We start from the raw sequence: 14,044 nt of genomic DNA on the forward strand, positions 1-14,044 counted from the left end.
CACTCCAGCCTAGGTGACAGAGCGAGACTCCATCTCAAAAAAAAAAAAAAAGGAAAGAAAAACATGGGTAAATGTACATCAATAGTTTTTTCAAGGGTGTGGAGCTTTTCGTTTTGAAAATATGCACTTACTCTACACATAATCAGGCTCCTGGGTCTCATGCACTGTATAAGTCCTCTCTCTCGTCCTCCTTTTCCTATTCCTCCCCCTCCCCTCTCTCTCTCCCCGACAATCTTTCTCCAACTTTAAGCACCTATGGCCACAGAATGTGTCTTATTAAACTACGCTAGTGACCAGCAGAACGCCCATCACACAATACAGACTCCCTGATTTTTTTTTTGAGACGGAGTCTCGCTCTGTGCCCAGGCTGGAGTGCAGTGGCACGATCTCGGCTCACCGCAAGTTCTGCCTCCTGGGTTCACACCATTCTCCTGCCTCAGCCTCCTGAGTAGCTGGGACTACAGGCGCCCGCCACCACACACAGCTAATTTTTTGTATTTTTAGTAGAGACAGGGTTTCACCATGTTAGCCAGGATGGTCTCGATCTCCTGACCTCGTGATCCATCCGCCTCAGCCTCCAAAAGTGTTGGGATTACAGGCGTGAGCCATCGTGCCCCACAATTTTTTTTTTTTTTTGAGGTGGAGCCTCGCTGTCACTCAGGCTGGAGTGCAGTAGCACAGTCTTAACTCACTGCAACCTCCGCCTCCTGGGTTCAAGCAATTCTCCTTCCTCAGCCTCCCGAGTGGCTGGGATTACATGCGTGCACCACCACACCCAGCTAATTTTTGTATTTTTAGTAGAGACGGGGTTTCATCATGTTGGCCAAGCTGGTCTCGAATTCCTGACCTCAAGTGTTCTGCCCACCTCGGCCTTCCAAAGTGCTGGGATTACAGGCCTGAGCCACTAAGCCTGGCCAAGACTCCCTGAGATTTGTCAAACCCAGGCCAATAGTCAGTTACTGATTCAGAAGTGGGCAAATGACCCAATTTGGCTCTGTGAAATGAAAGACCTTTTTAGAGAGCTTCTGTAAAAAGTTCCTCCTTTTCTTCTAGTTAGCATGGTATGTGGATGTGAAGGCTGGAACCACAGCAGCTGTCTTGCAATCATGAGGGAGGAAAAAACACAAGGGTGAAAGTGACATGGTGGGAGATATCGTGGATAGATGGAGGAGAAATCCTGACAGCTCTGAGTTGCTGAATCAAACCATTATTCTGTATTTCACATGGCAGACGACACTAGATTCTCTGTTACTTGCAAACCAAAACCATCCTCATACACACACACACACGTACACACACACCAAACACTGATTAAATAACCACTAAATATATAGGAAATCAATGACCATTGAAACTATTTTGGCAAGCATAGTGGCTCATGCCTGTAATCCCAGCACTTTGGGTGGGAGGATCACTTGAGACCAGGAGGCCAGCTTGGCAAACACGGCAAAACCCCTGTAACTACTAAAAAAAAAAAAAAAAAAAAAAAAAAAAGAGCCGGGCGTGGTGGCGCACACCTGTAATCCCAGCTACTCTAGTGGCTGAGGCACAAGAATCACTTGCGCCCGGGAGGCAGAGGTTGCAGCGAGCCGAGATCATGCCACTGCACTCCAGCCTGGGCAACAGAGCGAAACTCTGTCTCAAAAAAAAGAAAAAAAAAGTCATGTAATCACCTTAGCAAAACAGTAAGTCATCCTATACAAAACAGATAATGTAATTTAATCGAGAATGACATGCCTTTTGTCAAAAAGAGTTCTGTAGATGGATGGTGATGGTTGCGCAACAATGCGCATGTGCTTAATGCCACTGGACTGTGCACTCAGAAATGGTTAAGATGGGAAATCTCATGTGTACTCTACCACAATTAAAATTAAAAAGAAATCTAGAGCGCCTATATTTACATCAGACAAAATAGACTTCAGAGAAATGAAAATTACCAGGGTTGGCCAGGCGTGGTGGCTCACGCCTGTAATCCCAGCACTCTGGGAGGCCAAGGAGGGTGGATCACCTGAGGTCAGGAGTTCGAGACCAGCCTGGCCAACATGACGAAACCCTGTCTCTACTAAAAATACAAAAATTAGCCAGGCATGGTAGCCGACGCCTGTAATCCCAGCTACTCATGAGGCTGAGACAGGAGAATCACTTGAACCCGGGAAGCAGAGGTTGTAGTGAGCTGAGATCATGCCACTGTACTCCAACCTGGACAACAGAGCAAGACTGCATCTCAAAAAAAAAAAAAAAAGAAAAGTAGCAGGGTTAATGAGGAACATTACGTGATGATCAAAAGAGCCAATGCACCAATACAGAATAATCCTCAATGTATATGCACCTAACAAAGCTTCAAATATTTGAATCAAAACTGATAGATCTGAAAGCAGAATAGACAAATCTGCAATTATCCTTGGACATTTCAATTGCTTTACATAATTTCAATGGCTTTACATAATTGTTTGAAATGTGATCCTCCCAGGTCTATACTCACCATGCCATGTTTCTTATTGGAAACCCATTCTCCATCATACATGGCTCCACTGGCATAATAAAACTTGCCACGTCCGTGACGATATCCATTTACAAACTCCCCTATGTATTCATTTCTCAAAGGATACTGGGAACTGCGGATTCTCTTTAGAAACCATGTGTGTGTTCCAAAGCCATTCTGAAAAGAAAGCACACTGCCATCAGAAATGCACAAAGCAGTTTCTCTCTTTACCCGGATCCCCTTAAAATTAGGATAAATACAATGAAAACTGGAAAGGGCAAAGAACTTGGACTCTGGAGTCACACAGACTTGGGTTCAATTTCAGCTCAGCTACTTACTAAGGAGTCTTTTGAAATAAGGCAGATCACTTAAGCCCTCTAAGTTCCTCGTCTGTAAAACAGAAATGACACCTACCCCTCAGGTTAGATATAAAGCAGTTTGAAACCAGCCTGGCCAACATGGAGAAACTCCATCTCTACTAAAAAGTGAAGATAAGTGTACATAAAGTGCCTGGCTTGATCGTGAAGATTTTCATTGTTATTTTAAATGTTGGGGTTTATTTGCTTTTATATATTTTTATTTTTTGAGAAAGGGTCTCACTCTGTTACCCAGGCTAGAGTATGGCACAATCTTGGCTCACTGCAGCCTCAACCTCCAAGACTCAAGTGATCCTCCCACCTCAGCCTCCCAAGTAGCCAGGACTACAGGCACCAGCAACCACTCCCGGCTAATTTTTATATTTTTAGTAGAGATGGGGTTTCACCATATCACCCAGGCTGGTCTCAAACTCCTGGCCTCAATCCTCAGGTGGTCTCCCAAAGTGCTGGGATTACACGTGTGAGCCACTGAGCCCAGCCTAAATTTTTATTTTTTAAAGATACCAGTTGGGCTGGGTGCTGTGCCTCATGCCTGTAATCCCAACGCTTTGAGAGGCAGAGATGGAAGGATCACTTGAGCCTCAGAGTTCAAGACCAGCCTGTGTGATAAAGTGAGACCTCGTTTCTAAAAAAAAAAAAATTATTTTTTTAGTTAGCCAGGCATGGTGGCAGTGGGCACCTCTGTAGTCTCAGCTACAGGGGAGGCTGAGGTGGGAGGATCGCTTGAGCCAAGGAGGTAGAGAGCCCTGATTGCACAACTGCAGTCCAGCCTGGGCAACAGAGCAAGACTCTGTCTCTAAAAACAAACGAACACGCTGGGCGCTGTGGCTTACGCCTGTAATCCTAGCACTCTGGGAAGCCGAGGCAGGTGGATCACTTGAGGTCAGGAGTTCGAAACCAGTCTGGCCAACATGGTGAAACCCCGTCTCTACTGAAAATACAAAAAAAAAAAAAAATTAGCCGGGCCATGGTGGTGGGTGCCTGTAATCTCAGCTACTCCAGAGGCTGAGGCAGGAGAATTGCTTGAACCCAGGAGGTGGAGGCTGCAGTGAGCTGAGATCCTGCCACCGCACTCCAGCCTGGGCAACAGAGCAAGACTCTGTCTCTAAAAACAAACAAACAGGCTGGGTGTGGTGGCTCACGCCTGTAATCGCAGCACTTTAGGAGGCTGAGGCGCGCGGATCACTTGAGGTCCGGAGTTCGAAACCAACCTGGCCAACATGGTGAAACCCCGTCTCTACTAAAAATACAAAAAAAACAATTAGCCCGGCCGTGGTGGTGGTGGGTACCTGTAATCTCAGCTACTCCAGAGGCTGAGGCAGGAGAATTGCTTGAACCCGGGAGGTGGAGGCTGCAGTGAGCCAAGATTGCGCCAGTGCACTCCAGCCTGGGAGACAGACAGAGAGAGACTCTGTCTCAAAACAAAAACAAAAACAAAAACAAAACCCAAAAAGAAATATACATGTGTTGAGAATCGGCGGAGCATCCGCCTCTGGGTATAAGCTGCTACCCCGCCCGGGCGTACCTGGATGCCCCTCTCCCACCGCCCGGTGTACTCTTCGTTGGTGGTCAGCCACCTCATCCTCCCCTCCCCGTGGCGCATGTTGTCTTCCCACTGGCCTTCGTATATATTTCCAGATTTATAACTAGGATGAAAGAAACCAAAGAAAAACAATCAGTTACCTCCTACACAACATTTACCTTTAAGACATTCTTTTAAACACTCCCCTTGAGCTCCTTTGAAGAAATCCACCCCTTGTACTTATACAATCTTCTCTGTATTTAAATTCAGGCCAGGCGTGGTGGCTCACGCCTGTAATCCCAGCACTTTGGGAGGCCGAGGCTGGAGGATCACCTGAGGTTGGGAGTTTGAGACCAGCCTGACCAACATGGAGAAACTCCATCTCTACTAAAAATACAAAATTAGCCCAGCTACTTGGGAGGCAAAACTCCATCTCAAAAGAAAAAAAAAAATGCAAAAATTAGCCGGACATGGTGGCAGGCACCTGTAATCCCAGCTATTCAGGAGGCTGAGGCAGGAGAATCACTTGAACTCAGAAGGTGCAGGTTGCAATGAGCCGAGATCATGCCACTGCACTCTAGCCTGGGCAACAGAGCGAGACTGTCTAAAAAATAAATAAATAAAATTTTTAAAAAATCAATGGATAGGCTCATGGTCCTAAGGGAGCAGAATGAGTCACTTTATTAAATCTTCTGACTATTTAATAAGGGGACAAAGTGGGTAAGAGCCGGGTTTTTAAAATTTTTTAATAATTCCCTATTGTATCATGATTAGTGAATATTTGGCCAGTTTTTGAGATGAGATCTCACTGTGTCACCAAGGCTGGAGAGCAGTGGTGTGATCATGGCAGGAGAATTGCTTGAACCCAGAAGGCAGAGGTTGAAGTGAGCTGAGATGGCACCACTGCACTCCAGCCTGGGTGACAGAACAAGACTCCGTCTCAAAGAAAAGAGAAAAAATCCACTCTGCTTAGAGAGAAAATGTTCCGTGCAACTTTTGCATCTTACTTTTAAATATCCGAGGTGAACGCTATTGGGCCCACAAACCCTTCTTCATCTACACCCCAAGCGCGGCGGTGGTCATACCTACCATCTTATTCCCCAGCCCTTTTTGATGTTTTGTACCCAGTCTCCCTCGTACCAACACGTACCCTCTTGATTGTAATAAATGGAGCCCTGAAACAAATAATGTCATCTTTAAAACTATCAAGCCTCATGACACAAATGCTTTGTCAAATGTAAGGATATTAACTTGAAAAGTAGAACCTACACAGAGGTCAATGTCATACATAGGCAAGACATGTAAACTGCTATTTTTCTGTTTTGCTATCAAGAAAATGGTAAAACTGCTGCACAAAGGGAAATGAGATAATGTCACAAATCAATTGCTCCTTAATAAAGTGCCATATTGGCCAGGCACGGTGGCTCACGTCTGTAATCCCAGCACTTTGGGAGGCCGAGGTGGGCGGATCACAAGGTCATGAGTTCAAGACCAGCCTGGCCAACACGGTGAAACCCCGTCTCTACTAAAAACACAAAAATTAGCTAGGAGTGGTGGAGCGTGCCTGTAATCCCAGCTACTTGGGAGGCTGAGGCAGGATAATCGCTTGAACCTGGGAGGCAGAGGTTGCAGTGAGCCCAGATCGTGCCACTGCACTCCAGCCTGGGCAACAGAGCAAGACTCCATCTCAAAATAAAATAAAATAAAAAGTATCACATTAAGGCACAGAATGACTGTATTCATCATATTCGAGTATATTCATTCTATCCAGTAACTATTAGTCAATTAAGTACCTAGAGAAATCCTGTCTGTTGCCACCTGGAGTGAACAGTTGCGCCTTCCATGTAACGGAAGGTCACTCTCTCTTAGGCACCAGATCCACTGTTGTTTTACCCATTTGGACATGCTACTCATTTTACCGCCTCCGAGTATAAGTGAGCATAGAGTACCCTTTGTTTGATCTACATAGAAAAGCCTCAAAAGGCTTTTTCACAGGTTTATCTGTGTGTGTGAGAGAGAATTTTTCTATCTTCTTTCTCATGATCAGGCAAACTCATTCCTTCTTGCAGCCATGCAGATGCTGCTGTCTAGAAGTCACCACCCCCAATCCCTCCAATATGTCTCAAGCAATCTGCTGTAAAACACACACACACACACACACACACACACACACACAACAACAACAACAACACAACTCAATAAATAGCCTATTAAAGCATGCATACGGCCAGGCACAGTGTGGCTCACGCCTGTAATCCCAGCACTTTGGGAGGCTGAGGTGGGTGGATCACTTGGGATCAGGAGTTCAAGACCACCCTGGCCAACATGGCGAAACCCCATCTCTACTAAAAATACAAAAATTAGCTGGGCGTGGTGGTGCACACCTGTAGTCCCAGCAACCTGGGAGGCTGAGGCAGGAGATTTGCTTGAACCCGGGAGGCAGAGGTTGCAGTGAGCTGAGATGGCACCATTGCACTCCCGCCTGGGCGACAGAGCAAGACTCCATCTCAAAAAAAAAAAAAATTAATAAAATGGTTAATTTATGTGATGTGAATTTCGCCTCAATAAACAAAAAGTGAATATGCCCTGGACAGCGCCGCTAGCCCCTACCCCCTTCTCTCCCTCCATGTGGCCACCCAGCCCCTCCCCTGCCCTCCACATGGCCACCCCACCCCCTTTCTGCCCCCCCGACCTCCCCGACCTTGCCCCCTCATGGCTGCCCCCCCCATGTCCGCCCACCCCCTTCACTCCTGCCCCACCTGCCCTCCACGTGGCCACCTCGCCCACCTTCCCGTGCCGCTTGCCATTGCACCAGTGGCCGATGTAGGACACAGGCTGGGTGCTGCACTTGAACATCCCGAATCCGTTCCTCATGCCGTTGACCACTTCGCCTTCATACATGCTGCCGTCCGGCCACGTGTACACGCCGTGGTTCATCGGGACATTCTTCACAAAGTCGCCCTGAAGCAGAACGGCCATGGGGTGACAGAAGGAAGTGTTGGGGGGTGGGGGCGGGAATCCCTAGTCCTGCGGGCGGTTCCAGGAGCTGCTTGACCTCTGATTCTGTTCTTGCCTCTCCTGTGGACACACTGAACATCCCCCTCACACTCTCTCTCTTCCTTCCTTGTCTGCTCTCATCGCATCCTCTCTCATCTGACCCGACCAGTGGGCGGAAGCTCAGGCAGGAGGAAATATCTGGGAGGTTGCAGGTTGACTAAGTTCGAAGAAACAAGCAGGTGACGTTGGAAAGTGCTGGCTTCCAATCCTGACCTGGGGAACTTCAGATTCTTAGAACCCACCTTGGCAAGGTGCAGTGGCTCACACTTGTAATCACAGCACTTTGGGAGACTGAGGCGGGAGGACTGCTTGAGGCCGGGAATTTGAGGCCAGTCTGGGCAACCTAGGAAGACCCTGTCTCTAGAAAAAGATTTTATTTGTTTTTGTTTTTATTTTTGAGACAGAGTCTCACTCTGTCGCCCAGGCTGTAGTGCAATGGCGCCATCTCGGCTCACTGCAACCTCTGCCTCCCAGGTTCAAGCAGTTCTCCTGCCTCAGCCTCCCAAGTAGCTGGGATTACAGGCACCCATCATCACACCCTGCTAATTTTTTTTGTATTTTTAGGAGAGACGGGGTTTTGCCATGTTGGCCAGGCTGGTCTCGAACTCCTGACCTGAGGTGATCCACCTGCCTCGGCTTCCCAAAGTGCTGAGATTAACAGGCATTTAACAGGCATGAGCCATCATGCCTAGTTTTTGTGGATTTTTTGTTGTTGTTTTTTTGTTTTTTTGAGACAGGGTCTCACCCTGTCACCTAGGTTGGAGTGCAGCGGCACAATCATAGCTCACTGCAGCCTCGACCTCCCAGGCTCAAGAGATCCTCCCACCACAGCCCCCCAAGTAGCTGAGACTACAAGTGTGTGTGCCACCAAGCCTCACTACTTTTTAAATTTTTTGTGGAGATGGAGTTTCTCTATGTTGCCCAGGCTGGTCTGGTCTCAAACTCCCAGCCTCAAGTGATCTTCCCACCTTGGCCTCCCAAGTAGCTGGGACTACAGGTGCTGGCCACCAAGGTGCAGTGGTGCACGCCTATAATCCCAGCACTTTGGGGGTGCTGACGTGAGAGGATCTGTTGAGCCCAGGAGGTTGAGGCTGCAGTGAACTATGACCACTGCATTCCAGCCTGGGCGACAGAGCAAGATCCTGTCTCTAATGAAAAAAAAAATAACCCGCTCGAAGGAGGTGAATTCACTGTTCCCTCCAAGGCTTAGTGATGACTGGGGACATCCCTCTTTCTTTTTCCTTTTTTTTTCAAGATGGAGTTTTGCTCTTGTTCCCCAGGCTGGAGTGTAATGGTGTAGTCTCGGCTCACTGCAACCTCCGCCTCCCAGGTTTAAGCAATTCTCCTGCCTCAGCTTTCCGAGTAGCTGGGATCACAGGTGTGCACCACCATGCCCCGCAAATTTTTGTAGTTTTAGTAGAGACAGGATTTCACCATATTGGCCAGGCTGGTCTTGAACTCCTGACCTCAGATGATCTGCCCACCTTGGCCTCCCAAAGTATTGGGATTACAGGCGTGAGCCACCATGCCCGGTCAGGAAATCCCTCTTTCTGCCACGGTCATCAAAATAGTCTGTAAACAAATCAGCCAACAGCCTGCCCCAGGGGCACCTGCCAGGGAACGCGCTCTGCCCAGGACGCCTGAGTGGGCAGCAGGCAGCACAGTGCACAGCACCCAGCAGCATCGGATTCTCTTCCAGGAACCTGAACTCCCTGGAGGCAGCCACAGCAGCAGAGAAAAGAGGACAGCACGCCGTGGCCTGATCACCAGCCAGGACCCATGAGGCCAGTCGGCCTCTGAGAATGCTTCTAGGAGCCCCCCGAGTCCTGCCCAGAAGCCCCCCTGACTGGGCTGGAGTGGGGGTCTGTGCCTGCAAAAATGACCTCCCCCCCTGCCGGGAGTTTCCCGAGACAACGAGGCACAGGGCGGTTCTTGGTAAGTTGTCACTTAAGGACCAGAAACTGGCCCAGTGCGGTGGCTCACACCTGTAATCCCTGCACTTCGGGAGGCTGAGGTGGGCAGATCACCTGAAGCCAGGGGTTTGAGACCAGCCTGGCCAACATGGCGAAAGCCCGTCTCTACTAAAAATACAAAAAGTAGCCCGGCGTGGTGGCGGGCGCCTGTAATCCCAGCTACTCTGGAGGCTGAGGCAGGAGAATTGCTTGAACCCAGGAGGTGGAGGTTGCAGTGAGCCGAGATCCCCCCGCTGCACTCCAGCCTGGGTGACAGAGCAAGACTCTGTCCCACAAAAATAAATAAAATAAAGACCAGAAACCTTACATGTCAGCCACCGGCTAGAAGGCGGGATGTCGCGTGGGAAGGGAGCTGGCATGAACCCAAGGTGGGGGCCCAATCCTCAGGCTCCCCTGGAACTTGGAGATCCTCCTCGCCCCGCCAGTGACGGTCAGCCCCTCCCTCCCTCTCCCCGCTCCTCTGCAGCATGCCTCTCACCGCCCAGCTGCAGGTGGCTTCCCGGCCCAAACTTGACTCCGTTTCCATCATTGCCTGTGTGTTATTTGAATAAGTGCGTTATGCGCATGTGTTTTAAATGTCATCATTACCATTTATAAACACCATCTGTTAGCAACTCTGCATTTGGGATTTTTAGAATAGCATTTCAGGTGCTCACTCACTTTGTGGGTGGGAATTGAGCCTGGTACAATCTCTTGGCGAACAATTTGGTCCTTGCAATCAGCTTAAAAATACACATTCCCCTCAACCCCACAAGACAGGTTAAATAAAAGCCACATAATGGAATACATGCAGCCACTAAAAACAGATCTACATGAATGGATATGGTTTGATCTCAAAATTAAAGGTACAGGCCAGGTGTGGTGGCTCACGCCTGTAATCCCCAGCACTTTGGGAGGCCAAGGTGGGAGGATCGCTTAAGCTTAGGAGTTCGAGACCAGCCTGGGCAACATGGCAAACCCTGTCTCTACAAAAAAAAAAAAAAAAAGTAAAAATAAATTAGCCGCGTGCTGCGGAGCACACCTCTAGTCACAGCTACTCAGCAGGCTGAGCCAACAGGATCGCTTGAGCCTAGGAGTTCAAGGCTGCAGTGAGTCATGATCTCACCACTGCACTACAGCCTGGGTGACAGAGCAAGACCCCATCTCAGACTCACTAACTAACTAAGTAAATATGCCAAAGAGAGTGTATAATAAACTATGTGTGTTTGTAAAAAGCAAGACAGGCTACAGAAGTTCCAGGCTGCAGTGTTATGATCGTACCACTATACTCCAGCCTGGGCAACAGAGCAAGACCCTGTCTCAAAGAAAAAAGTAGGACAAGCTACATACATGTACGTGTGCTCTCTGTGCTTAGAACACATAGAATACCTCTAGAACACACAGATGAAACCAATAACAATTACTGGCGGGTCCCATGCAGTCATGAGTTACTAGATCCTCTGGTTCTGCAAATTTTTCTTAACCCATATGCTGAATGACATCTACGAAAACAGTCTGTTCAATTGTGGGAAACTGATTGTTCCATCCAATAATCACAGCTTAGAACTATAACTGGTTATATGCCTCACCTCATATTTTAATCCATCGGCCCAAATATAAGTCCCCTGTCCATGCATGAGTCCTTCTGAAAACATACCCTTCAAAACAAAACAAAGCAACGACAAACACTTAGAATACAGCTGACACATATACATATTTGAGATAGGGTCTGGTTCTGTCACCCAGGCTGGAGTGCAGTGGTGTGATCATAGCTCACTGCAGCCTCGAACTCCCAGGCTCAAGCAATCCTCCCACTTCAGCCTCCCGAGTAGCTGGGACTACAGGCATCCACCACCATGCCCAGCTAATTTTTGTATTTTTTGTGGAGACGGGATTTCACCATGTTGGCCAGGCTGGTCTTGAAATCCTGAGCTCTAGCAATGCGCCCGCCTTGGCCTCCCAAAGTGCTGGGATTATAGGCATGAGCCACCGCGCCTGGCCTGCAGCTGATGATTCTCTCCCACAACTGCCTTATCCCGATTTCACATGCGTGAAGATGCTTGTCTGCACACTCAGCACCAGCTGAGTCCTAGTGAGTCCTACTCTGAGCTGCCTCCATGCTGGGCTCCATCCTTCTCTAAAAAGGATCTAAGAGGTCCTCATCTTCATGACCTAAGGATGACCTCAGCTACAAAAATGTGTTCTCAACCGGGTGCGGGGGCTCACACCTGCAATCCCAGCACTTTAGGAGTCTGAGGCAGGAGGATAACTTGTGCCCGGCAGTTCAAGACCAGCCCTGGCAACGTAGCAACTCCTTGTCTCTACCAAAAAAAAAAAAAAAAAAATTAAATTAGCCAGGCGTGCTAGCTCACACCTGTAGTCCCAGCTATTCAAGAGGCTGAGGAGGGAGGATCATTTGACTCCAGGAGGTCGAGGCCACAATGAGTTATGATTGTGCCACTGCACTCCAGCTTGGGTGACACAGTGAGACCCTGTCTCAAAAAATATAAAATAATCAGGAAAAGAAACAAATCTAAAATAACTTTTGTTATATTGAGCATTATTTTTACCTTAAATAGGTAATCAGGTTTCAGAATAAAATCGGCATGAAGAGCTTCCGATTTCTTTTGAAGCATCAGTGGATTTTACTGAAGATTTACAAATCTACGACCATCACCCCACACCTTCCTCCCCTTCCTGCAGGTTCTCAAATGGGCAACTTACACGATAGGTACAACCGCCTTGAAAGGCTGCGAAGCCTTCTCCCTCATACAGCCCACGAACCTTTTCCCCTTCATAGCTACAAAGAAATAAAGGTAATTCAAGGTAATGAACAATGTGAATAAACCCAAGTGACAGTGGGTTAAACTATATAACTATGTAATGGGAAGAATGAAGTCAGAAAAAAAAAAATATATATATATATATATACACAGAGCTAGAAAGTAGAAGAGGTTACCAGGGGTTTGAAAGTAGGGTGAGGAATGAAGGCGTTTCGGGGTTTTTTTGTTTGTTTTTTGGGGATTTTTTTTGAGATGGAGTCTCACTCTGTCGCCCGGGCTGGATGGAGTGCAATGACGTGATCTTGGCTCACTGCAACCTCTGCCTCCCGGGTTCAAGTGATTCTCCCGCCTCAGCCTCCTGAGTAGCTGGGATTACAGGCACATGTCACCACGCCCAGCTAATTATTGTGTTTTTAGTAGAGATGGAGTTTCACCATATTGGCCAGACTGGTCTCAAACTCCTGGCCTCAAGTGATCTGCCCGCCTCAGCCTCCCAAAGTGCTGGGATTACAGGCTTGAACCACCGCATCTGGCCAGGAGTTACTATTTAATAGACGGTCGTACAACACTATGAACGTACTTAATGCCATTGAATTGTACACTTAAAATAATTAAGATAGTACATTTTGTTATATGTTTCACCACAATAAACTCTATATATACACACGCCATGGGGCTGTATGTTTGCTATTTGGGTGATGGGCTTACTTAGAAGCCCAAACCTCAGCATCACACAACATGCCCATGTAACAAACCTGCACATGTAACCCTCTAAATCTAAAATAAAATAATTTTTTTAAATACATAAAATTACCTTCAGGCCAGGCACAGTGGCTTACGCCTGTAATCCCAGCACTTTGGGAGGCTGAGGCAGGTGGCTCACCTGAGGTCAGGAGTTCGAGACCAGCCTGGCCAACAGGGTGAAACCTTGTCTCTACTAAAAGTACAAAAATTAGCCAGGCATGGTGGCGGGCACCTGTAATCCCAGCTACTCAGGAGGCTGAGGCAGGAGAATTGCTTGAATGTGGGAGGTGGAGGTTGCAGTGAGCCAAGATCACACCACTGCACTCCAGCCTGAACGACAGAGTGAAACTCTGTCTCAAAGTAAAATAAGATAAACCGCCTGACTGGCAGTGTTATACCCGATGGCACCCCCATTAAAATCACCTTTCCACTATGAGTTTGGTCAGAATGGACTCTTCGTATTGGGTGGCATCTTCGTTCTGCTGAACGTTTTGGCGGTCTTTTTTGGGTTTCACTTCGTTGAGCTGCATTCCCAGCAATGGGACACCAGCTGGGGACATCTCTTGCCTAGTGGTGTTGCCATCTTGTTTGGAAAAGTCTAGATTATCAGAGAGAGATGAGGGAGAGCGGGCAGACTTCTCCCCTTTTTTGTCTGCTTTTTTCTTTTCTTTCACCATTGCCTTGGGAAGATCCAATGGTTACTTGAATCAAATGATTTCTTTGGTTCAGAGCTGCTTGTTTCAAAGCACTGATGAGTTTTATCTGAAAAATAAAAATTACGTCTCCAAACACTTGGGGTTTTCATTTGTAGTTAAAATTTCAGTTTTACAACACAATGTCATTATCATTCTCCTGACAAAGTCTGAAAAATTAGTTACCAGGGCCGGGTGTGGTGGCTCACACCTGCGATCTCAGCACGTTGAAGGGCCAAGGTGGGAGGATCATGTGAGTCCAGGAGAGGGAGATCAGCCTAGGCCACGTAGTGAGATGCCACCTCTCTACAAAAAATAAAAATAAATTAGCCAGGCGTGGTGGCACATGCCTGTAGTCCCAGCTACTAGGGAGGCTCAGGTGGGAGGACTGCTTGAGCCTGGGAGGTCGAGGCTGCAGTGAGTAGTGTCACACCA

General features: G+C 47.8%; 1 protein-coding gene across 12 annotated transcripts in view; it reads right to left on the reverse strand.

Moving 5' to 3' along the window:
* Positions 1-14,044, reverse strand: part of RSPH10B (radial spoke head 10 homolog B) — a 44,716-nt gene that overhangs the window by 27,387 nt on the left and 3,285 nt on the right. For 9 of the 12 annotated variants that reach the window (XM_011515208.4, XM_011515204.3, XM_024446691.2 and 6 more), the window contains 8 exons: positions 13,796-13,915; positions 13,341-13,679; positions 12,115-12,190; positions 10,980-11,048; positions 7,169-7,342; positions 5,471-5,556; positions 4,385-4,505; positions 2,483-2,659 (listed from right to left, as the gene is read on the reverse strand). In XM_011515208.4, the coding sequence (XP_011513510.1) occupies positions 2,483-2,659; positions 4,385-4,505; positions 5,471-5,556; positions 7,169-7,342; positions 10,980-11,048; positions 12,115-12,190; positions 13,341-13,594 (957 nt within the window). In that variant the 5' untranslated portion in view covers positions 13,595-13,679; positions 13,796-13,915. Of the gene's footprint in view, positions 1-2,482; positions 2,660-4,384; positions 4,506-5,470; positions 5,557-7,168; positions 7,343-10,979; positions 11,049-12,114; positions 12,191-13,340; positions 13,680-13,795; positions 13,916-14,044 lie in introns of those variants that run through there. The other 3 variants (XM_047420047.1, XM_011515210.1, XM_011515207.1) reach the window with 2 other exon arrangements.

The sequence above is a fragment of the Homo sapiens genome, chromosome 7 (assembly GCF_000001405.40).
Source record: "Homo sapiens chromosome 7, GRCh38.p14 Primary Assembly".
NCBI classification, from domain to species: domain Eukaryota; kingdom Metazoa; phylum Chordata; class Mammalia; order Primates; family Hominidae; genus Homo; species Homo sapiens.